Here is a 22,908-nt window from a genome sequence, read left to right on the forward strand (position 1 = left end):
TGCCTACCTTCATCCGTGAAGAAGGGTGGAGGGGCTGAAGGAACACCCATGTCCCTGGGAGAAAGAACTGGAGAGAGGTGAAAATGGAAGATTTTAAAGGCAGAAGTAGCTGTTGCTCTCATGGCTTGGCTCCTGGCTGCATACCTGACCAGGACACAGAGAGGGTTTTAGGACCTGCCAAGGCCCAGGGCACAAACCACAGAAAGTGGATCCAAATGTGTGGGCTCAGCAGCCTCCCTGATGGGGGCTTTTGAGACTGAGTGGGTGGGGGTGGGGCCCACGCTGTTCTCTCTCCCAGCAGGGATGGATGTGGCAATCAGGGACAGATGGCAGTGCCCTGAGAGGCAAATGGGAAGAGAGAAGAAACCACTGCCTCATTGGCAGGAGAAGGGTCAGCCTAGGAACAAAGCTCATGGAGAGAGATACTTCCCTCCTGGGCACTTCTATAATTGGGGGCCTTGCCCCACTTCTCCCCTGGAGCAGCCTGGGGACCCCAGTAAAGGTGGCACTGGCAGGACAGAGAGGACAAATGGGTCAGAGCTGCCCAGTTGTTGTGTGCAAGGGCTGGGGATGGCAGAGCTATCTCACCCTGGGGGACCTTAGACACACCCTCTGTTCAGATCCCAACTGTGAAATGAAGCAGATGACAGTGCCCACCACAGGCAGCCTCAGGTCCAGGGATATTCAACTGGCATCACCTAGGTCAGGGTTGGAGTATTCCTGCCCACTTCTCCCCTCCACTCAGTACCCACTGAGCTTTCCAGGAATCTCACTGTCATTGTGGGGATATTGAGGCCCACGAAGGGGAAAATATTTTTCTTACTGTTAGATGGGGGAATGTCTATGGGAATATCTGAGGGCTCTGGACCCTAAATCAGGAGCTTTAATGAAGTGAATTGGCATTGGGTGGTGTGTGTGTGTGTGTGCATGTGTGTTGGGAAGCTCTGTTTGCCCTGGGAGGTTTGATGACAGGGAGAGGATGGATGACACTTGGCGTAGGCAATGCTGGGCACCGGGGTGGTCCTGAGCTTACAGCTAAAAGAAAAAAAAATTTCCGCTCGGCTTTGTGAGTTACTGAAAGCTGTCCCTAGAGGGAGAGTCTCCCCATTTCTCCAAGAGCCCTGTGGTAATCTCCTCAAAACTCAGGCACAGTCTCTGGGAAGCCCATCTCCGGAGCCCTGGACCCCTGCAGATGTGCCTATCTTCCCCTCCTTTCCCTCCCAGTGCCGCATCTTCTCGGAGGGTAGAAACTGGGTGAAAGGAAGGAGCCAGAGACAACAGGCGCTCCACAGCCTGTGACAGGTTGAGCGACAAGGCAACCCTGTTCTGCTTCCCACCTCAGCTGCACTAAATGGGGCTGCACTGAGGGAATGGGGACCAAAGGCATTGCCAGTCTGCCCGAGAGGATGGGGATGGGGGTGAGGTGTGAGGAAGGGCCACGGACCCAAAGGACCAGCCACAGAATAAACAAGGACCTTCAGCTTTGCACTGCATGGCCCTGAACCCCAAGTGAAGTTTACAAGGAAAACTCTAAGCCTTTAAAACATCTTCCTGAACATCACCCCACATGATACTAAAAATAAAATGCTTCCAGATCCCACATGGAATTAAATTTATATAGAACTATAGAAGCTAGTGGATTTAAACTTGACTAGTTAACAATGTTATATTAGAGACATTTACTTCAATGCTTATGAATTTCGTTTTTGCCGTGTTTTGTTTGTTTTTAGAGCCAGTAATGTTTTCTCAAGTCTCAAACCTTTCTTTAGCCCCGGAGAAAAAGCCCGCGGCTTTGTGCTTATGTTTTGCGGGGTGGTGGCTGTGGGTGGGGTTGGCTGGGTGACGGCCTGTCTCCCTCCGCTAGCCTCCTCGGGTCCTTCGGGAGGCGCCAGATTGTGTGGGCGGCATCGCCTGGGGACAGTGGGATGGGGCTTCCACCCGGCGGAGGGCAGAAGCGTCTTCTTGGCTGGCTAGAGAAGCTCCGCCGGAGTGGCCTCCTCCCCTCCCCCAGGCCGGGGAGGAGGCCGCCGAGGGCTCTCCAATTGGAGAGCCTTTCATCTCTTTGTTTTTACAGTGATTAACCCGTCCGAGCGCGCTCCGAGCGTGGCTCCAGGCAGCGCAGGGGGAGGGGAGAGGACGGCTGGGCAAGGGAAGGGAGGGAGGAGGGCCCTGGGCTTTGTCGCTTTCAGGGAACTCTGCTGCCATAGCAATGGGCCTTTCTAAGGCCTGACTTTGATTCCGATTCCATGAAAGAGCCTGTCTGCCCAGTCTCGCGAGTGGAGAGGGCGTTCCGTCTTCCCCAGACTTGCCCCGCGCCCCTCGGACTTGGGGAGGGTAGGACGCAGCAGCAGGGCCAGGATCGCGGGGCCTGCAGGTGGAGGAGGTAGAGGAGCCCGGGACTTAATTTTGGGTACACCTCACCCCTCCTAGGGTCCCCCAGGATGGGCGCCTGGCCTTGCGCGCCTGTTCCCCTGGGAGCCACTTCGTCTCCCTGGGTGTCGGGACTGGAGGGAGGCGAGCGGTCCAGCCCCTGTCCGGCCGGAGGGAGGCCGGGGCACCTGCCGGTCTTTCCACCTCTGCATGCATTTCACACTTTCTATCCTGTTAGGCGTCCGCACTTCTATGCCAATGAGGACTCCCCTTCCCACCCCTGTTTTTTTATGTCATGTGGATTTAATCTAGTTAGACGATTTTATGCTTAAAATTGCATTGTTAACAGCAATTGTTTAAAAGGGGGCCGAGAGCGAGGGCGCCCAATCTTTGAACTGGTCGGGTTTTGCATGCCTCCGCTCCGAGCCCGTGGAGCGCTGCACAAAATCGTCTAGCGCGGAGCAGGGCGGGGACGGGGAGAGACACAAAACAATCCTCGGGCTTTCTCGCTACTGAGCCTTCGGGGCCGTTTCCCCAAGCGCAAACAGATGCAAATGTCTCTGCAAACATTGCACAAAGCTATTCAGAGAGAGGCAGCCTCTCGCGGCCTCAATAGCCCTTTAAACCTAGTCCAATTGCCCCCAAGTAGAGGTAAAGAGTCCACATGCATTTTTTCACTTTGGCTGGAAGAGGGGCGGAGGAGGCGAGGGCCTTGGGGAGCAAGGTATGAGGGCTGCTCTGGTTCAGCGGTTCGTGCCATCGACCCGAGCTGCAGCGTGCGGAAGACCGGCAGGAGAGTGCGGTGGCTCGGGGGACTACGCGCTTCGGGCCGGGCGGGGATTGAGGTGCAGCCGAAGCTGGTGCCGCGGGAATGCGCGGACCGGAGAGGCCCCCGGGACCTTTCAGGCCCACAAACGCCGCGCTAAATAGCCACGCGCACAATAGCATGAAAGGGCTCACTCGGACCTTACTGCAACACAGTAGATTCACACCCCTCCGAGGGGACTAATAAGCTCGTAACTAACGCGCAACGCTCAGCGGTGAGAGCGGGCTTGCGCCCTGCTGGCCCCTCGCAGTACGCAGACTCAGTCTTTCAGCGTCACTCGGAGGCCCAAGGGCAGCCGCTGCACGGAGGGCCAGGCATTTCCTTCTAACCTCGCCAGTAGAGGAGCCTGGGGCCTGCCGGTGCAGTCCTTAATGCACCCCAAACTCACGTGGGGCTGGCGACCCCGGAGGCTCGGCATTTCCTGGCCCTTCAGAAGACGATGTCGGGACCTCTAGACTCCAGGCTGAGCGAGGAAGAAGCTCCAGTAAAAGATGCCAGCGTAGGCGCGGTCTTAGCCAGCTGTGGCCAAGCCGCCTCCACCTCCAGTTCAGGGCCGGGGCCTTTCCCGTCGCCGCACGCAGCAGGTGCTCTGGACGCGATGGGCGGCCTAGCCAGAGCAGGCACGTGCGCTGAGGGCCCGGAAAAGCCCCTTCCACCTTTGCCCTCTTCCCCGCTCTGGGAGACCTACTTCCATGCCACCCACATTTGCTGAAGCCCCTGGGGTTTTGCCCTCACCCAGCTTCCGACCTGGTGGTCTTAGGGACAGAAATCAAGCTATACGTAGCTCCAGAGTCCCACAAACCCTTCCTTCACAGTTAAGCGAGAGTGGTCTAAGCCAGTTGCTAGGGTAGGGAAGAAGTCGCCTCACAAAGGACTGGGAATATTTAGGCTTCAGAGGCAGCCCGGAGGTGTATAATCTGCAGGCGGCTGTCATTCCTGAGTCCCTAAACTTCATCTTAAGGGCAGAGGTCATATTTCACTCCCCACAGGAAGTGGCCCGTGGAAAGTGTTCCCCGCTGTCAGTGGAATAGATGAGTGAGTTGTGTGGTGCTCTGGGCAGGGAAGTCTCCCAAGGGCTCAGCGGTGACTGACTTTGGGTGTCAAGGAAGAAGCCTCCTAGCTTCTGGTAGTAGATCCTAGCCCCAGAGGCCATCCAGCCGCTCCTTTGTTAGAGCCGGAGTTTGTGAGGCCACAGCGCTTTCCCCACCTCAGACGCCCAATAGCATGCTACTGTGGTTATCCCCATCTTTCGGATGAGCACATCCAGGTTTAAAGTTGCCGTCGCCTGCCAAACAGTGGCAGAGCCAGGATTCGAGCCTTGGCAGTTGATTCCTAGGGTCTATTATGAGTTTGTTACAAACCGAGCTTCTTTCTTCTCCAACCCCACCCCCACCCGCAGCTCTGGAGACCATTTCTCCAGGCTGGGGGACGCAACCTGCCTCCCGAGAGGCGCGTCCCTGTCGCCTCAGGCAGGTGCAGGCCGGGCGGGCGCGTGGGGCGGGGCAGGGGCGTTATCTCCTGACCGAAGAGGGCCGCACATCTGTTTATCTCTGAAGCGGCGCTGGATTGGATTTCTCGATGTTTATCTCCCTCAGAGGAACAGCGCGCTGGGGCTGCGGAGAGCGCAGCTGCGGGCCGGGCAGTGATTGACAGGTCGGGAACAGGGCCTCCCGCCCCTCCTCCGTCTGGGTGGGGGGCGCTTGGCTGCCCACTGCGCACCCCATCCTAGAGCGCTGCAGGTGAGCATGCCGGCGGCCAGGTGCCTCCGAGTTCCTCGGTTACCCGGCGCTCAGGCCTGCTCCTCACTAGGGACCACTTAGCTGAGCCAGAGAGATTGCAGTGTTGACTTAGTGAGGCAGTCTAGGGCGGGGGTGGGGAGCGGGAGAGGTAGCCAGTGAAAAGGTGGATGAAATCCTAATGAGTCAATTTCCTAACCTGCCAGAGAGGCAGCCTAGGGGAACCACGGGAAGTGCCCTCTGCTCTCAAGAATGCCTGGAGCTAAGAGGGGAGCCTTAGTACCCCGAAGAGGTACTGGGAGAGGGAGCTTCAAGGCCATGAGTAGGGCTGCTTCAGGAGGCTGTGAGGTCACAGGAAACCCAGAGTTGAATGTTTGTCTACCTTCCCTAGCTATACCCCCTACCCAAACCAGGCGACCTCCCCACTTTCTTCTCCATCATTGCGGTTTGTACTTATGTACACACCCATCTGGCATGGTTGTGTGGTTGATGAAACTGGGCTCCTGCGGGTAGGGCTGGAGCATGAAGTAGTGTTCAGGCAACACTTGTTGCTGGTTAGGGCTACTGGACCTTTGAGGAAGCAGGCTGAACCGTGGTGTTGCAACTATTGTTCACAAGCCACCTAGGATCATGGGAAAAGTCATCTGGATTTTGATCTTTTTCATGCTGGGGCCCTACTTGGTACCTGTATGTCCTGGTTTATTACATGAATGTCAGCATATGTTGTTGACCTTAATTCTCCCTGCCCCAGTGGCTGCCTTAGAAATGTGGCATGTCCCTCTAAAGCTTTCATTTAGTGCCCTCATTCCAGCCAACATCCAGCTGCCCATTTTTCACTTTCCAGCCCACTTCAGAGTGGGCTGGATACCCTTTGTGCCCCTGACACTAAGGGACAAGTAAGCATGTCTTATCCCTTGTAATGGTGGTCTGAGGTCTGGAATGACTGCAGACAGGACACTCAGGAGCAATCTGAGCAGTGCATACTCTGCCAATTGCTGTGGACTCAAACTCTATAGAGGACATTGGTTGGTCTTATATATATGCTGGCCTGGCAGTGTCGATGGCCCTGTATCTTCAGTGATGAGATACAGGTGCCTGGATTTATCATTTCACCTAGATTATATATAGCTGGCTAGTGGCAATAACCCCACAATAAACTGGTGTCACTTTGATGGGTGAATGGATGGTGGCTGGCCCCATTTGGGACAAATTTCCACCTCCTCAGGCAGAATGGGCACCAACTCTGTGTGTGGGCAGGAGGGCCATAGATTGTTCCAGAGTGCCAAGAAGTGCAGACTCCTGGAAATGAAGCAGGAAACTGGTGTGGGAAGCCTCTGGTGTCCTTCTAGCCCTGTGTTCTAATGAACGTTTAATGTCAGGTGGGGCGAGTGGTCCGTGAATGCTACCATGTTAGTTTCCTCACTTTTTATGTTGTCCTACAGGAGCAGAGCATGGCTCGTACGAATGCTTATCAAATCAGAAACCACAGCTTCCATGGAGGGCCACCAGCAACAAAACTGGTTCTCATACAACGAAAAATGAGGCAGCCCAAGGCCGCAGTGTGTTCTGCTGCGTGTGTATTTACCTTTTCCATAAGCTGCGCTGCACTCAGGCATGGTTCTCCCTGGCTGGGACCTCTGTAGGGAGACCAGAGTGCCAGGGAAGGTCTTACCAGTGCCCTATTTCTTGATGATGAGTCATGATGAGGCTATTACAAAACAAAGCCTGTTTCAAGAAATGAGTAGTTTTGGCTGATTCAGGCTTCAAGACTTGAAATCTGTTTCCCTTTTGTGAGTTAGAGCAGCTCCTGTTAGCAGTGGCCATTAACGTTGGTGTCTGCCAAGACAGAGGCCCAAGCAGGCCAGGGCAGGCACGGCTTTCTCTTCCCGACTATCACACACAGGTGGAACTTAATCCATGATTCCCTTTATTTCTGAAACAAATCTTTATGTTTTCTTTCAGAAGAGACCTTAATGGCCTCTTACCAAGAAGAGGCTTAAAAGGTTTTCTCTCTAAGAACCAGGTCCTGAACATCTTGAGGTGAAGAGTCAGGAATGGGAGGAATTTAACCACCCAGAGTTGCTGGCAGCTGTGAGGGGAAAGCCTGGAGCCATGTTTGAGAAACAGGCTCCACAGGGGTGGCTTAACTGAAGAGAGGAGAGCAGATCATGAGGCTGGAAAGATGGGCTTGGGGAAGGACTGAGGAGTCAGTGCATAGCCCTCTCTGTCCTCTGGAGCCTTGAGAATATTCGCTTTTAGAGACAGATAAATGGAGAATATCCCGGGCACACCACCAAGCCCTGCCAGGAGCTGAAGCCAGGGCTTAAAGCATCATGTGTGAAGGTCCCTGGGCGGTGCCCTGGAGAATCCCGGCAGAGGCTTCCTATCTCTGGTTATTGTTTCAGCTCTCCACATACCGCTAGTCCCTCCATCATTTAGGCCACAGCATTGTGCTGGCTGTGGCTACTCCCTGTTTCCCATCCCATTGTAACAGACCCCTTTTCGACCAAGTCCTTTCAGTTCGAACAAGAAGACAAAGGCTGGCCCTCCAAGGAGAGGCTTCTCTTTCTAAATATTTACCCTGCTGCCCTGATTCATCATTAAGACTTCCTTTGTGTGGAGCTGCACAGGCACAAGTCATTGCCCCCCAGCCCACCATGCTTGACATGGCCAGTGGTTCAAGCCTCCCTGTCCTTCCCTTGCCTCCTTTAGGGGTAAAAGATGCAGAGGCTTGAACCACTTCTCCCTTCCTGCCTTCTGGAGAGGCCCTGGGCCAGCCACTGGCTGGCAATGCTCAAGAGGTGCCTCTGACAGTGCAGGTTTACTTTCTTTCTTTTTTTACGTGGTCAAAGGATATTTGAAGATTGAAAGTTCACTAAGCATTTTAGGAACTCATTCCAAGGCAGCTCACATTCCTTCAACAAATGTTGATTGAGTACATGTGTGAGATGGGCCTTGTCTTTCCTTCCAGAGCCCTTAGAACCCAGCATAAGCCTGATGCGCAGAAGGTGCTTAGAAATACCAAGAGAATCACAGAGCAGCCACGGGAGGAAGTCATCAGACAGAGAGGAGACTCCTTGCCTACCCTAGCAAGCTCTTCTTCTCACAGTTTTACTGCATATGGTTCTGACGTCACTTCCTAGGCAGGTTTAGCTTTTTGTTTCTGTAGAAGACATTTTCTGGAAAACTGCATAAGTTAGGTTGTTGTAAATTGGAACCTTGGAATTGTCCCAGACTCCTAGAAATGGGATAAGAGGTGCAAGAGTCCTTATCCAAGTGGTTTAAACAGCAGTAAACATTTGTTGTCTCACTGTTTATGTGGGTCAGAAGTTTGGAAATGGCTTAGCTGTGTGGTTCTGTTGTGGGGTGTCTCATGTGGTTGCAGTCAAGATGTCAGCTGAGGCTGCAATCTTTTGAAGGGGTGACTGGGAATGGAAGAGCTGCTCCCAAGATGGCATGCTCACATTGTGGGCAGTTGGTGTTGGCTGTTGGTGAGGGCCTCAGTTCCTCACTTTGTAGACCTCTTCACTGGGCTGCTTGAGTATTCTCAAGACATTGCAGCTAGCTGGCTGCCCCCAAAGCAAGTGTTCCAACAGTGGCAAGGAAAATGCCACAATGTCCTTTCTGACGCAGCCTTGGAAGTCATAGTCCATCGTTTCTGTAACATCCTTGCATTAGTCTGTTTTCATGCTGCTGAGAAAGACATACCTGAGACTGGGAAGGAAAAGAGGTTTAACTGGACTTACAGTTCCACGTGGTTGGGGAGGCCTAAGAATCACAGCAGGAGGCAAAAGGCACTTCTTACATGGCAGCAGCAAGAGAAAATGAGGAAGAAGCAAGAATGGAAACCCCTGATAAACCAATCAGATCTCGTGAGACTTACTCACTATAATAACACAAGAAAGACTGGTCCCCATGATTCAGTTACCTCCCCCTGGGTCCCTCCCACAACATGTGGGAATCCTGGGAGATACAATTCAAGTTGAGATTTGGGTGAGGCCACAGTCAAACCATATCAATCCTATTGGTCAGCCCTGATCAGTGTAGGAGGACACTACACAAGGGGCTGAATACTGGGCGGCGAGGATGACTGGAGTGGTCTTAGAGGCTATCTACTGCACCTTTTAATATGGTACATATTTTCTTGTTTATTACACTTATTTTTCATTGTTTTTCTTTCACTACTAGCTCTTTGAAGGCGGGGTTCTTTGTCTTTCTTTGTTTCCCAAGTTTCTAGAATAGTGCCTACTACATAGAAGGCATGAAATAGATATTTATTGAATTGCATTAATTTGATTTGAATTATTTCCAAACAAAAATCAGTTCCCCCACTTGAAGGGGGTGGGGGAACTGATAATTAGTGCTTCTGACTTGTGTTTTTAAACCAAAGAATCCACTGTCTCTTATTGCTACTTATTAGATACGTCCAGTGTTTGCTATGTTGGCCTTTTTATTTTATTTTTAAAATAAGGCACTCTTGTATTTGAAGGTAGCTACTAAGCAAGATTTACAGGGACATAATCCTGTTCTTCAACTCTACAGGAAATAAAAGGGATCTTTTAAATCTTTCTGTTCCTCAGTTTCCTCATTTGAAAAATCGAATATTGCTGACTATATACTAGGGTGTTTTATGGATTAAGTGAGATATTTTACTTTTAAAGGATTAAAAGTAAAGTATATCTCCTACAGTAAGCACCCAAAAAATAAACTATATCAGTCAATTTTAGAGGTCATCGAGTCAGGAAACAGGCTGTGAGAAAGGTGGAGAAATCCTCTCTGAAACTTTTAGGACTGCCTGGATAATGCGTCAGGCATGTTGTCCTGTGCCGAAAGTATGTCGTTAACACCCGCACTGAGGCTCCTGCTGACTTGGATGACTGGAAACAACCTGGATGCCATTTAGGAATCTTCCTGGGCAAGTTGAGGAAATTGTGCGATCCACTTGCTAACTCAAGAGCACGTTTAGCAGGCTATCATTTGAGATCCTGTAGGTACTGGTCCTGGGCTTGCAGAGATGATAGAAGTGCAATCTTTGGCCTCAGGGGACTCACTGTCTTTAGGGAAAGACAGACAGATAAGCCACTCATTCTGATATAGTGGTCAGTGCAGTTGTTGAGTCCCTGGACCCTTGGGGAAATAAGTGGTGCGGAGACAGCATTATAAATGGGGTGATATAAACTAAGTTTTAGGGTTGGGTAAGAGTTGGGAGCATAAATGATAGGAAGCAGGGAAGGTTATGTCCCAGCAGAGGAAACAGCTTGGGCAAAGGCCTGCAAGCATGATATGGGTAGTGGGAGGGAGCACGTGGAGGTCATAAAGACAGATGAGGCTGAAGGTACAGAGGAAATAAACAGGCTGGAATTTTATCCTGTAGGATTTTTATTCTGTACCCCTGGAAATAGGTAAACGAATAGTGAGTGTGTCAGACTTGTATTTTAAAATCCACTGGTGGCCTTCTGGAGGACAGACCAGAATGGGTGAGACCTGAAGCAGGGAGATGAGAGGGGAAACTGGTGCAGGGACCCTGCAGCCATGGGTAGAAATCGTGGATTGCAGGATTCCACTGGGCATGACCCAGGGACACTCCCAGTCTCATCTGGAAGAAGAATCTAAGGTTTCTTCCCTGATGATCTGCCCCAGTTACTGCCAGTGGAGGGAGTCCTTGGGGGACCACCTTACTATTCAAAAGTGGAAAACAAAGGAGGCAGGGATTTGGTCCAATGACTTTGCACCTGCTTTCTTCTACTGGAGAGGAGGACACCTATTTCAGAAGAGAAGTCCACAACCCCCTATTTTCTCCTTTATCCCATTTGAAATGCTACTGAAGCCTTTACAATGACCCTGTACTTACTCCCAGCATTTAATTTTATGCCTGGCTCATCGTACACTTGGGATAAAGACGATGGTTACATGATTCATTTTCTTCTGGAGACCAGGGCCTAAGACCCACCAATCTTTACCTCCTCCATAAAACATAGCACAGGGTCTAGCTCTTTTAGCAGAACCCAGTAAGTAGATGACATTGGCAAACAAATTCAAGCACTGCTTTCAAACCTTTTCTGCAGAGAAGGTGTGCGCCACATTTACACATACATGTACACACATGTGCCTGCCTCCCCGCCCCACCCTACCCCAGGCTATTTTCCAGAATAGGATTTAACAGATCAGTCTCCACCCCATTCCCTCCCGACCCTGGCTTCATAGCCAGGGAAGCGAAAGATGAGCTGAGTGCTTTTTCTTTTGAGTCAGATGACTCAGATCTCAGTTAAAGGGAGACACATCTGTCATGCTCAGCCTGGGGACTTTGGGACAGGTCTCTGGGGCCAGCCTGCAAATCTTGAACTAACTCACTCCCTTTGATGGGTGATAGGGAATCCTCCACCTGACATGCAGGGACAGAGGGGACCCTGGGTCTCCTGTGCCTCTTCCCTCTGCTGCTAGGTCCCTCCCTCGTGCTGGGTGCTCACCGTAGGGATCCTCATCTCCCACTCTGTGTGTGAGGCAAAGGCGGGAGACATGTGTGAGGTTTTTGTGGTGGAGAAAATCTGGCAGTCCTGAATTTATTCCTGAATCTACCATCTGCTGAGTGTGTTCTTGAGGATTATGATACATTTTTTAAAGCAGTGGGGGAGGTGAGAGGGTGAAAAACTGGTGATTCCTTCTCCACCTCTTCCCTGCTGTTCTTGGAGCCATGCAGAGCCAGGCCTTGGCATCCTGAGGCCGGGTGCACCTGGGAGTCAGATCCAGTCTCAGGTCTGGCTCTGCCACTTTTCTGACCCTGACATTTAGTCTGTTTCCATCATAAAATTGGACAAACATGCCTGCTGTTCACCTGAGGATCCAATGAGTCACTGTATGCATGAGGTCTTTTAAACTGTAGAGGTACTTGGGCCTGCCATTAGTTGATGGTGCTGAAGCAGAACCTAAGAGCCAGCGTTCAACTAGGACCAGGCATGCTGCCACTTGGGGACATCAGTGCAAGGTGTCGCCACAGCTTTCACTCCCAAGCATGGATGGCAGGGAAGCTGGGATGCAGCTTTGGAAGCTGACCTTTGGTTATCAATGAATTAAAATTCACTGATTGCTAAAGGGGGCGGGGAAGAGAAAGGATGAAGCTGGCACCTGCTCTAACGGGGTGGGTGAGCGTGTCCCCTGCCCCCAGCTGCAGCATCCTGGCTTGGCCTCAGAGTCTGACAAATGTCTTTTCTCATAGAAGAAAGGAAGGAGAGGGGGGAGCAAGGCTTCAAGCTGAGCCACAGAAGGGAGTACAAGGTTGAATCAGATGACCCCACCTGCTCTTTCCCACCCCTTTGTAAATACTTCAGATCCTAGAAGAAAAGGAGCATTTTCCCCAGGAAAAGTAACCAACCATTCTGGTTTACCCAGAACTGAGGGGATTCCTGGGATGCGGGAATTTCAGTGTTGAAACAGGGACAGTTCCAAGTGAACTAGGATGGCAGGTTGTCCTACCCCCAAGGTAACTGCCTCCAGATAGTTTATTACTTCTGAATAGATTGCTCAGCTGATCCCTTTATTAACTACAGGAGAAGCAACTTTACTCCCCCTCCCCCCCCACCCCTAGGAGTAAGAGAACAAGGAAACTTCATTTCATCTTAGATTTCTGCATTGGCAGCACTGTGATTGGTAACAAGGAATGGATGATGGATGAAGCACGCTCTTCGATTAACTGAAGGTGATCTACATAGGTCATGGTGAGATATGTTGGAAGACATAAGGCCCATTAAATGCATAATTCATGTGAAAATGGTGAGCTCAAAGATGTTCATCCGGCTCTGCCCGAAAAGAAATCTGAAATAAAATGGATATGTGTTTACCTTTTTTGCTGGAGTTGTAGCTGGTAACCTTGGTATTTGAGGGTTGTAAATGCATGTGCCTAGGGTTGTGTGTTATGGTGGGAAAGGCCTGGATTTGGCAAATTGATCCTCATTTGAGTCTTTGCCTTTCCACTTATTCTCTTTCTCCGAAGGCAGGTATTTCACTGCCCCCAGCCTTAGTGTTCATATCTGCAAAATGGGTAACATACTTACCACAAGGTTGCTTTGAGGATTAAAAGTCACACCACCTATAAAGCGCTTGGCATGCAGGCGCAGTGGCTCACGCCTGTAATCCCAGCACTTTGGGAGGCCAAGATGGGCAGATCACTTGAGGTCGGGAGTTCGAGACCAGCCTGGCCAAAATGGTAAAATCTCATCTCTACTAAAAATACAAAAATTAGCTGGGCATGGTAGCGGGCACCTGTAATATCAGCTACTTGGGAGGCTGAGGCAGGAGAATCGCTTGAACCTGGGAGGCCGAGGTTGTGGTGAGCTGAGATCGTGCCACTGCACTCCAGCCTGGGAAAAGAGGGAGACTCTGCCTCAAAATAAAAAAAATAAAATAAAATAAAATAAAATAAAATAAAATAAAATAAAATAAAATAAAATAAAATAAAATAAAATAAAAATAAAATGCTTGGCATGATCCCTCAACATAGTAGAGATCTGACACCATGAAATCCCTCACATCTCTCAGGGATCTTAACTTTTCCTTTGGTTATATATGCTTTTCTAACTTTTTGTTCTTAGCATGTTTTACAATATTTGCTTCATGCAATGGTACACACATAAGACAAACATAAGTTACAACACAAAATGAGTACCCAGAAACTTATCACCCAACCTAAGATCTAGAGCAGGGGTCCCAATCCCCAGGCCATGGGCCTATACCAGTCCATGGCCTGTTAGGAACCAGACCACAGAGCAGGAGGTGAGTGGTTGAAGCTTTGTCTGTATTTATAGCTGCTCACCATCACTCACAATACTCCCTGAGCTCTGCCTCCTATCAGATCAGTGGCAGCATTAGATTCTCCTAGGAGCGCAAACCCTATTGTGAACTGCACAAGTGCGGGATCTAGGGTGTGCACTCCTTATAAGAATCTAATGCCTGATGATCTGTCACTGTCTAGTTGCAGGAAAACAAACTCAGGGCTCCCACTAATTCTACATTATGGTTAGTTCTATAATTATTTTTATTATATATTACAATGTAATCATAATAGAAAAAAGTGCACAATAAATGTAATGCTCTTGAATCACCCTGAAACCAACTCTTGACCCTGGTCTGTGGAAAAATTGTCTTCCGTGAAACCGGTCCCTGGTGTCAAAAAGGTTGGGGACCATTGATCTAGAGCATTCATTTCCCAGGACTGCCATAACAAATTACCACAAACTGGGTGTCTAAAAACAAAGGAAATTTATTCTCTCACAGTTCTGACCAGAAGTCCAAAATCAGGGTGCCAGTAGGGCTCAACTCCCTCCAAATGCTCTTGGAAAGAATCCTTTCTTGCCTATCCCAGCATCTGGTGGTTCCTGGCATTCTTTGGCTTGTGGAAACATAAATCCAATCTTTGCCTCTGTCTTCACTTGGCCTTCTTTCCTGTGTCTGTGTCTAAAACCTGCTGCTTCTATCTCTTAAAAGAACACCCGTCATTGGACTTAGGGCCCACCAAACATCCAGGATGATGTCAGCCTGAGATTCTTAATTACAACTACAAAGACCCTATTTCCAAATAAGGTCACATTCACAGTACCAGGAGTTCAGACTTGGACATATCTTTTTTAGGCGCACTCTTAAACCAACTGCGATCATCATTATGAGTTTCCCTCTGCCCATGCTTTTTCCATTAATGTTATATTTCTTAAGAGTCATTCATATTGATGTAAGTAGCTGTAGTTCATTCATGCTTAATACTCTGTTGGGTACTAGTACCCCAATACATTTATCCATTCTCCTGAAAATGGATATTCAAGTTATTTCCACTTTGAGGCATCATAAACAATGCTTCTTTATCTCCTGGTGCTCAAGTGCAAACGTTTATCTAGAATATAAGACTAGGAGTTGAATTGCTGGACCCAGGGTAATGGATGAATAGCATTTTGTAGGATGATGTCAAATTGTTTTCCAAAGTGATTATACCAATCTGCATTCCCATAAGTCAAGTACAAGATGCTCAAAGTGATTTTTTTTTTAGTCCAGCAAATGTCAACATTTCAGGATTTGTCTTCTCTGTGGTGATAAGCATTAGATGATAAGACCTCTTCTCTCCTGATTTTTTCTCTATAGCAGATGATTTCTGGTGGGTCTCTGCCCATGGAGAGAAAGTGCTAGGCCCTGCAGTCTCACCTGCTTTTGGCTGCATAGGCCCTGCCTGCTCTACAAATCCATCTTAATGGGTCATTAGAGGTGCCTGGAAACTGTAATTATGGTATAGCATTTCACAGGCTTACAATTGAAGGCTGTTTTCTAGACGCCCAAGTGAAGTCTATTGTGGAGTGATTCATCTCAGAGAGTTTGCACCCAATATAATCAATAATGAATATAAAAAGGTGCTTGCCTTTAGCACGAGGGAACTCTTACTGTGAGGGCAGTGATATAGGCATCCCCTAATTGGTTGAAATGACACGTATCAGGGCTGGTGGAGTGGCAGGTATGCTGATGCCTCATGATAGTCAAAGTAGAATGGTGTATTCTGGGGGGATTTTTCTGCAGAAGCAAGGGGGACAAAACACCATTTGTCCCAGTTAGATCACAGATCCCTCACTACAGGGACAGAATATGAGCACAGTAAAGGATTCTAATAAATCCTCCTGACTGATAGGGAAACTGAGACCCAGAAAGAAGATATAATCAGCACCTGCTGTCAATGTAGGCCTTAGGGAGAGCTGCATCTTGTTTTGAAAGCCTAGCTAATTGTCTTAGGTTGCCTTCTCTGAAAGCAGAACCTAGATCAGGTATTGTTGAGCAAGCTATTTATTAAATGAGTGCTTCCAGGTAAAACCTATACAGGATATTCAGGGGAAGAAGCTAAGCAAAGTTGTGGGTTCAGCTGACGTCCAGCCTTAGCCTGATTTTTTTTTTTCCTCTAGAGAAACCAGAAAAGAAGGCTGATCTTATAGGAGGCTTTGGAGTATGAATAGCACCTCGAGATTGTTCCACCATGTACCCTCATTGCTGGATCATTGGCTGCAGGCTGCCCCGAGGGAATGGAGTAACCACCTACACGTTTCCTTGCTCCCTGCAGCTGAAGGCAATTCTGTTAGAAGCCAACTGTCACAGCAGCTGATGCGATTATTATTTGGGTTGGGGAATGGTGTGTGGTCAGGGGATGAGGATTTGCTTTGTGCACATTCTACTGGTCACCGTCTAATACCAACTCATGCTTTAGACATCAGCTCCATGACAGTAGGGATCAGAAATGCAGAACTAGGGAATTAAGGCAAATGTGCGTCATCTCCCCCTTCTCTTAGAATCTGCCACCTCCTGTCTGTGGCAGGTGAGATGGTCACATTCTGTTGGTGCATACTTCATTAGACTGCCTTGCCCCCAGAAGCTCCACCCATTTTTCTCTTTCTCCTGGGCCAGGAAAGTCCCTGGAAGAACTCTCCCTCTAAATTGTGGGGAGAGCCAACCCGGCAGGGCCTCTCTCTTTGGGGGTCTTTTGGGGCATTGGCAGGATGTGGCTAGGGCAGCAGCTGAGACTCTCTCAGAATTCGAGAAAACAGAAACTACTCCCAGGATGTCAAACATAGGGAAAAGTGTACCAGGGAAGGGGGAGGCAGAATAAGTGGGGACTGGAGTTATTGCGATTTGGATATAAATGATCTCTTTGGCCCACGGGCTGTTAAGTTACTTGGGTGGAAAAGGATGTAAGCACACCAGAGGTGAGAGCCAGAAGGAGCCTTTTAGTCCACTCCTCACCTCACAAATCTCTCATCTCCTCTCTTCCTCTTTTCCTGACTTTGCATCCCTTACCAAAAGGCCTGAAAGGGCAGATGGGCAGGGACTATGGTCATCCTGTAGGAGATGACATCAGACTGTAGAGATGGGCTGGGGTTGGAATTCAGAAGCAAAATATTCTGTTGCTGTGATTCCTGCTCAGAGGATGACATCCCTTTCCAAGAGGGTCCCCAGTAGAGGGTGGGGACAGAGGAAGGAGGCAAGTTGGTTCTCTTCCCTTCCTATCCTAGTGGTGTCTTTCAGCTCTGACCCTGGCTTTGCTCGCAACAGCTGCTGAAACCATTTACTTCATCCAAGAGAGCAGAACTTGGTTCTCATGCCAGGGTGCAAGGATCCCACATTTCTACACCCCTCTCTCTCCGCAGCCATCTGCTAGAGCACCTTTGTTTGCAGAGAACTCAAACTGCATCCTGCAGTGAAGCTTTCTGTTCTGACTCCAGGAAATTCTTGGTGCAAATCAGGAGCAATTAAACGAATATTTATGAAGCTGCCATCATTCAGAGTGGCTGTGTTGGTGCGTGCAAAAGCCTGAGATGTCCCCTAGTAAATGCTGCTCACATTCAACTCAGTAGACTTCCCAGAACTTACAGCTGTGATGTGCTGAGGCTGTCAGGACACTTCCAGAGCAGCAGCTGGAGAAGCCCTGTTGAGGGTGGGTGGAAAAAGCTATACCCTGGGTGAGGTTAAGGCCACAGGGAAGGAGGGGGAACAGCAAGGGCTTTGGACTTCTTAATCATCAGGCTTCAATCTCAGGAGTCACCTGCGACTACAGATTTTCTGGGTGGGAAACCCTTATTGAATGCTACCATGGGAAACTCACCATGCTAGGTGAACTGGGAGGTTACTTGCCATATGGGGGGTTGAGGGAATCATGGGAGAGAATGTTGGGGAGCCATGTTGGACCTCCTGAAGCCCATGGGAGGACAAGGCGGTGGTATTGCCTTTTCCTGTTAAATGTTACAGGTAGTGTGTGAGCTCATGGTTGGTGCCAGCTACTTGATCTGACCTGGTCATGTCCTTGGTCATCTACTTCAGGGCTGGCCTCAATGGGATGGGCTGGCCCTGTCATCACTTCGCTTTTTCTCTCAGGAACATAGCCTTCCCCGTCAAAAATGAGCATGAGGCTGGGCGCAGTGGCTTGTGCCTGTAATCCCAACACTTTTGGGAGGCTGAGGCAGGTGGATTACTTGAGTTCAGGAGTTCGAGACCAGCCTGGACAACATGGTGAAATCCCGTCTCTACTAAAAATACAAAAATTAGCTGGACATGGTGGCACATGCCTGTAATCCCAGCCACTCAGGAGGCTGAAGGAGGAGAATTGCTTGAACCAGGGAGGCAGAGGTTGCAGTGAGCCAAGATGATGCCATTGCACTCTAGCCTGGGTGACAGAGTGAGGCTCCATCTCAAAAAAAAAAAAAAAAAAAGCACGAGATCTTATTAAAAGAAGGATATAACATATCCAAAGATATCTATGTTCAAAGAAATAATAGACCTAAATGTAAAAATTAAAATTATAAACTTTCCGGAAGAAACCTGGGAGAAAATATTTGCAATCCTGGCATAGGCAAATATATCCTAGATATGAAACAAAAGCCTGAATGATAAAAGCAGAAGATACTGTTAAGAAAATGAGGCCGGGCGCAGTGACTCACGCCTATAACCCCAGCACTTTGGAAGGCTGAGCTGAGCAGATCACTTGAGCCCAGGAGTTCAAGACCAGCCTGGGAAATATGGCAAAACCCCATCTCCACTAAAAATACAAATATTATCTGGGCATGGTGGTGGGCGCCTGTAATCCCAGCTACTCAGGTGGCTGAGGTGGGAGGATCACCTTAGCCCAGTAGGACAAGGCTACAGTGAGCCGTGATCCCGCCACTGCTCTCCAGCCTGGGTGACACAGTGAGACCCTACCCCAGAAAAGGGAAAAAAAAAAAAAAAAAAAAAAAAAAGAGAAGACAAGCCACAGAATGGAAAGTAATAGTTGTGATGAGTATGTCTGAAAAAAGAGCTGCATCTAGAATACATAAAGAGCCTTCCCAACTTATCATAAGAACACAAACAATATGAAAATAGGCAAAGGAAAAAAAAGTGGCAGGAATTAACTCTGATAAAATTAAAAATACGTAACATGAGTTTTGTTTCAGAAATACATTTCACTCCTACTTTGATTTTTTTCTTTTCTGTTATCTCTCTCATAGTAGTGTTTGGGATTAACTACTATCCACCACATATGATGCATTAATCTGATTGTATAAGTGGGCAAAGAACTTGAACAGACACTTTACAAAAGAATATATATATATATGGTCAATAAGCAGAGAAAAGAATGCTCAACATCATTAGTCATGAGGGAAATAGAAATTAAAACCAAAATGAGATGCCACCACACACACACTAGAAAGGCTAATATTGAAAAGAATGTGAGTATCAAGTCTGGGCAAGTATTTGGAGCAATTATATTTCTCACGTACTGCTGGCAGGAGTGTAAAATGGTACAGCCACTTTGGAAAACAGTTTGGCAGTTACTACCAAAGTAAAACATACACTTATTATATGACTCAGCAATTCCACTCTTTGGTATTTTCCCAAGAGAAATGAAAATATATGTCCACTCAAAGCTACTTGGGAGGCTGAGGCAGGAGAATTGCTTGAACCCGGGAGGCAGAGGTTGCAGTGAGCCAAGATCACACCACTGCACTCCAGCCTGGGCAACAGAGGGAGACTCCGTCTCAAAAAAAAAAAAAAAAAAAAAGTTATATATGACTGTTCGTAGCAGCCTTATTCGTAATAACTCTAAACCAGAAACCACCCAAATGTCCACCAACAGGTGATGGATAAACAAATTGTGATATGTACATATGATGGAATGTTACTCAGCAAATAAGAGTATGAATTACTGATGTATATAATATGACTAAATCTTTAAAAATTATGCTGTGCGAAAGAAACAAAAAAAAGCACATATTGTGTGATTCCACTTGAATGGAATTCCAGAACCAATAAAACTAAAGTGGCAGAAAGCAAATCAGTGAGCACCTGGAGCCAGGGGAGGAAGAGAATTGAATGCAAGGGGTCATGAGGGAATTTTCTGGGGCAATAGAAATGCTCTATATCTTGGCAGCAATAGTGGTTAAATGGGTATATTCATGTGCCAATTATCAACAAATTGACACTTAACGTGTGCATTTTATTGCCTGTAAATTATACCTCAATAAAGTTATTTTGATGCAAAGAGGAAGGTGATACTTTTGGGTGATGGAATTAAAGATAATTTTTATTTTAGTCTTCATGCTTTTCTATATTTCTAAGTTCTCTAGAGTAATCTTATCACTTTCCTTAAAAAATAAAAACAAAAATACTGCCAATGTGAAAATGTTCTCTCTGGCTTGGAAGCCTCAGCTCAGAGGCTGTCTCCTTCGGAAGACTAGCCGGGGCCTCAGTTGGAATGAATTACTACCCCCTGTTCTAGGTGCTCATTGCCCTTGTTGGTGTCTCTGCTAAGCCGTTGCATTTGGCCTTGGGCTACTGTTACTACCTGTGTAGTTGGTTCCTTGTCCTGTGGGCACCCAGTAGTATGAGGGTTGGGCCTAGCACAGAGCCCCAAACATGGTAGGCAGCTATTCAATGTTTGCCAGGTTAAACTGGGATTTGTCAGGCTATTTGGTTTCGGGGGGCTTTCTTATGTTGTTTAAGGACTGTCATGACATGTATAAAGCAAGGCCTAGAGCAGTTGAGAGCTTTGAGTCCAAGCTCTACCAATTACTATCCACATAACCTCTGGCAAGCCCCATGAACTTTCTGAGCCTCAGTGTCCTTCCTGTAAAGGTACCAATAGTTCCCTGTTGTGAGACCTGAGTAGCATAGTGTTTGGCACACAGTAAGTATTCAGTTAGCACTGGCTGCTATTGTAATTATCATAGTTATAACAAATAATAATATAAATTGAGGGGACTGCCCAGATGGGAAAGTACTAAGAAATACGTAGACCGGGCATGGTGGCTCACGCCTGTAATCCCAGCACTTTGGGAGGCCAAGGTGGGGAGAGCTCTTGAGCTCAGGAGTTCGAAACCAGTCTGGGCAACATGGCAAAGCCCTATCTCTTAAAAAAAAATTATTCAGGCATGGTGGCATGTGCTTGTAATCCCAGCTACTCAGGAGGCTGAGGTGGGAGGATAGCTTGAGTCCCGGAGACAGAGGTTGCAGTGAGCCAATATTGCACCACTGCACTCCAGCCTGGGCAACAGAGCAAGACCATCTCAAAAAAAAAAAAAAAAAAAAAAAAAAAAAAAAAAGAGTAAAAGAGAAAAAGAAATACACAGGTAAATGGAGCAAAAGTTTTCTTCCCTGGGAAAGACCGTCATTCCAATTAGTGGGTACGTCACATCAGTCTTTAAAGGCCAAAAAAGGTACATGTGGACACAAACACGGGAACAGTAAATACTGGGGACTGCAAAAGAGGGGAAGGAGGGCGGGAGGTTAGGCTTGAAAAACTGCCTGTCAGGTACTGTGTTCACTACTTGGGCGACAAGATCCTTGGAGCCCAAACCTCAATGTCACGCGGTATACCCAAGTAGCAAGCCTGCACACGTAACCCTTGAATCTAGAATAAATAAATAAATAATGTACATTATTTTGTGTTAAAAATTAAAAAAAGGCTAATTGGAAATTAATTTTCTTCCACATGAATTTTTTTGAGAAAGTCAAAACCATTTCCCAAAAAAGCAGACATCCCGAAAGGAGTTTGGATTTTGCTGGCTGTGCTCTTCATTCAGGTATCAGGTGGCAGCCAGGGCTCGGTCTGAAGGAGGCTGGCTTTCTCTGAGTGTTTGCTGGAGCCGGGCTGACACAGATCTGACAGAGGTTGTCAGATCTCTGAAGAACAATCGACTTTCTAAGCAGAGCCCCTTCTCTGAGTCTCGCGGTGCCGCGTTACATTTGTAAATGCCAGCGCGCTGCTAAGCACGTCCCCGTGAATAGAAGTGTTTTGATGTTTTGTTTTTGGTCGGAGATTGAAGTCCAGTGTCTTGGGACCCAGTGACTTCAGCTGACCTTCCTGCTACATGGACAGGGCTAAATTTCAACCCCTGGAGGCTTCTGCACACAAAACCTCATGCCTCGCAAGGGCAGGTGCAAGGAAACCCGGCGGAAATCTGAAATCTTCGCTGCTTCAGAGACCCGAGCTCACTTCTGTCAGAGGAATCAGGTTTCACAAGCCCTTTTTTATGTAGGAAGCATATCATTAGGGGAATCTGGCAGGGCAACTTATTAAAACTACTGCCTATGGCAGAGAAAAAGCCATAATGCCTAAGGACATTCAAAGGCGAATGGTGTGATTTTTATTTCTAATAATTCTTGCAGTATCTTTGCAAGAGAATTGCTTGGCCAGAGTGACTGACTTCTAGCTGGAGATGACTCTGATATTTTAGGTCTTGCTGGTTTTGGAAAACATTGTTTTCCTCAAAACTTGTATTGCTGTTTTGAAATCAGGAGAGACCTTTTATTTCAAATGTTTTAATTGAGTAAGCAACTGTATAAAACCTGTAACTTCACCCTGTCACCATTTCTGAACTACTATTGACATCTCTCTCTAAGTCCTCCAAACTTGGCTTTTTCTTTGTAACATAGCTAGTTTTTGAATCGTCTTGATAATGTGGATGTAGTTTGCAATCTCTTTCCCTCCAACATTTAATTTAAGCTATATAGTTTATATAGTTGTAATAACTGCTTTTTGGTAGGTAACACTTTTTCATGATGCAATTCTGCTCTTCTCTATTGAGTAATTCCTCTGGGTTTGAGTACTTAGGGATTTTTTCTGGTTGTTATAAATGGATTTTCTGTTCATCATGTTTATCGAGTTTTTCTTTTCTCTTTTCAATATTTCCTTTAGCTACATTATGAAAGATGGCCCTGGAGTTGTCTGATATTTGCAAGAGCTCTCCAGTCTTCCAGCCCTGCCTCTTTCCCCTCCTTTTAAAAACTCTAGACTTGACGCACACCTGCAAGGTCTTCCTCGGCCCCTCCTCTGATGTCTGAAACAGCCCTTCACACGTCAGTGGCCGTGAGTATCCCATCATCATGGGAAACTCCTGCTTTTGTTCTTTGGGCAATCTCCATGAGGGGTTCTCAGTAAGAGCTCATGTCAACTGACCTCAGCTGGGTGTCGCAGGAGCTCTACCCTTG

At 47.8% G+C, this 22,908-nt stretch overlaps 5 annotated features.

Moving 5' to 3' along the window:
• Positions 1,814-2,671: an enhancer, noted in NCBI's record as "OCT4-NANOG-H3K27ac-H3K4me1 hESC enhancer chr5:134824474-134825331 (GRCh37/hg19 assembly coordinates)". NCBI's record gives its function as "activates a minimal SCP1, AML or CMV promoter by ChIP-STARR-seq in naive and primed H9 embryonic stem cells {active_cell/tissue: H9 hESC(naive and primed)}" and the evidence as "EXISTENCE:reporter gene assay evidence [ECO:0000049][PMID:30033119]".
• Positions 2,672-3,528: an enhancer, noted in NCBI's record as "H3K27ac-H3K4me1 hESC enhancer chr5:134825332-134826188 (GRCh37/hg19 assembly coordinates)". NCBI's record gives its function as "activates a minimal SCP1, AML or CMV promoter by ChIP-STARR-seq in naive H9 embryonic stem cells {active_cell/tissue: H9 hESC(naive)}" and the evidence as "EXISTENCE:reporter gene assay evidence [ECO:0000049][PMID:30033119]".
• Positions 2,929-3,223: a silencer, noted in NCBI's record as "tiled region #2127; K562 Repressive non-DNase unmatched - State 23:Low". NCBI's record gives its function as "represses a minimal TATA promoter and a strong SV40 promoter by Sharpr-MPRA in K562 cells {active_cell/tissue: K562}" and the evidence as "EXISTENCE:reporter gene assay evidence [ECO:0000049][PMID:27701403]".
• Positions 3,529-4,385: an enhancer, noted in NCBI's record as "H3K27ac-H3K4me1 hESC enhancer chr5:134826189-134827045 (GRCh37/hg19 assembly coordinates)". NCBI's record gives its function as "activates a minimal SCP1, AML or CMV promoter by ChIP-STARR-seq in naive H9 embryonic stem cells {active_cell/tissue: H9 hESC(naive)}" and the evidence as "EXISTENCE:reporter gene assay evidence [ECO:0000049][PMID:30033119]".
• Positions 11,135-11,335: a silencer, noted in NCBI's record as "peak5480 fragment used in MPRA reporter construct". NCBI's record gives its function as "represses an SCP1 promoter by STARR-seq MPRAs in K562 erythroleukemia cells {active_cell/tissue: K562}" and the evidence as "EXISTENCE:reporter gene assay evidence [ECO:0000049][PMID:32103011]".

This window comes from Homo sapiens, chromosome 5 (assembly GCF_000001405.40).
Source record: "Homo sapiens chromosome 5, GRCh38.p14 Primary Assembly".
Classification (NCBI taxonomy): domain Eukaryota; kingdom Metazoa; phylum Chordata; class Mammalia; order Primates; family Hominidae; genus Homo; species Homo sapiens.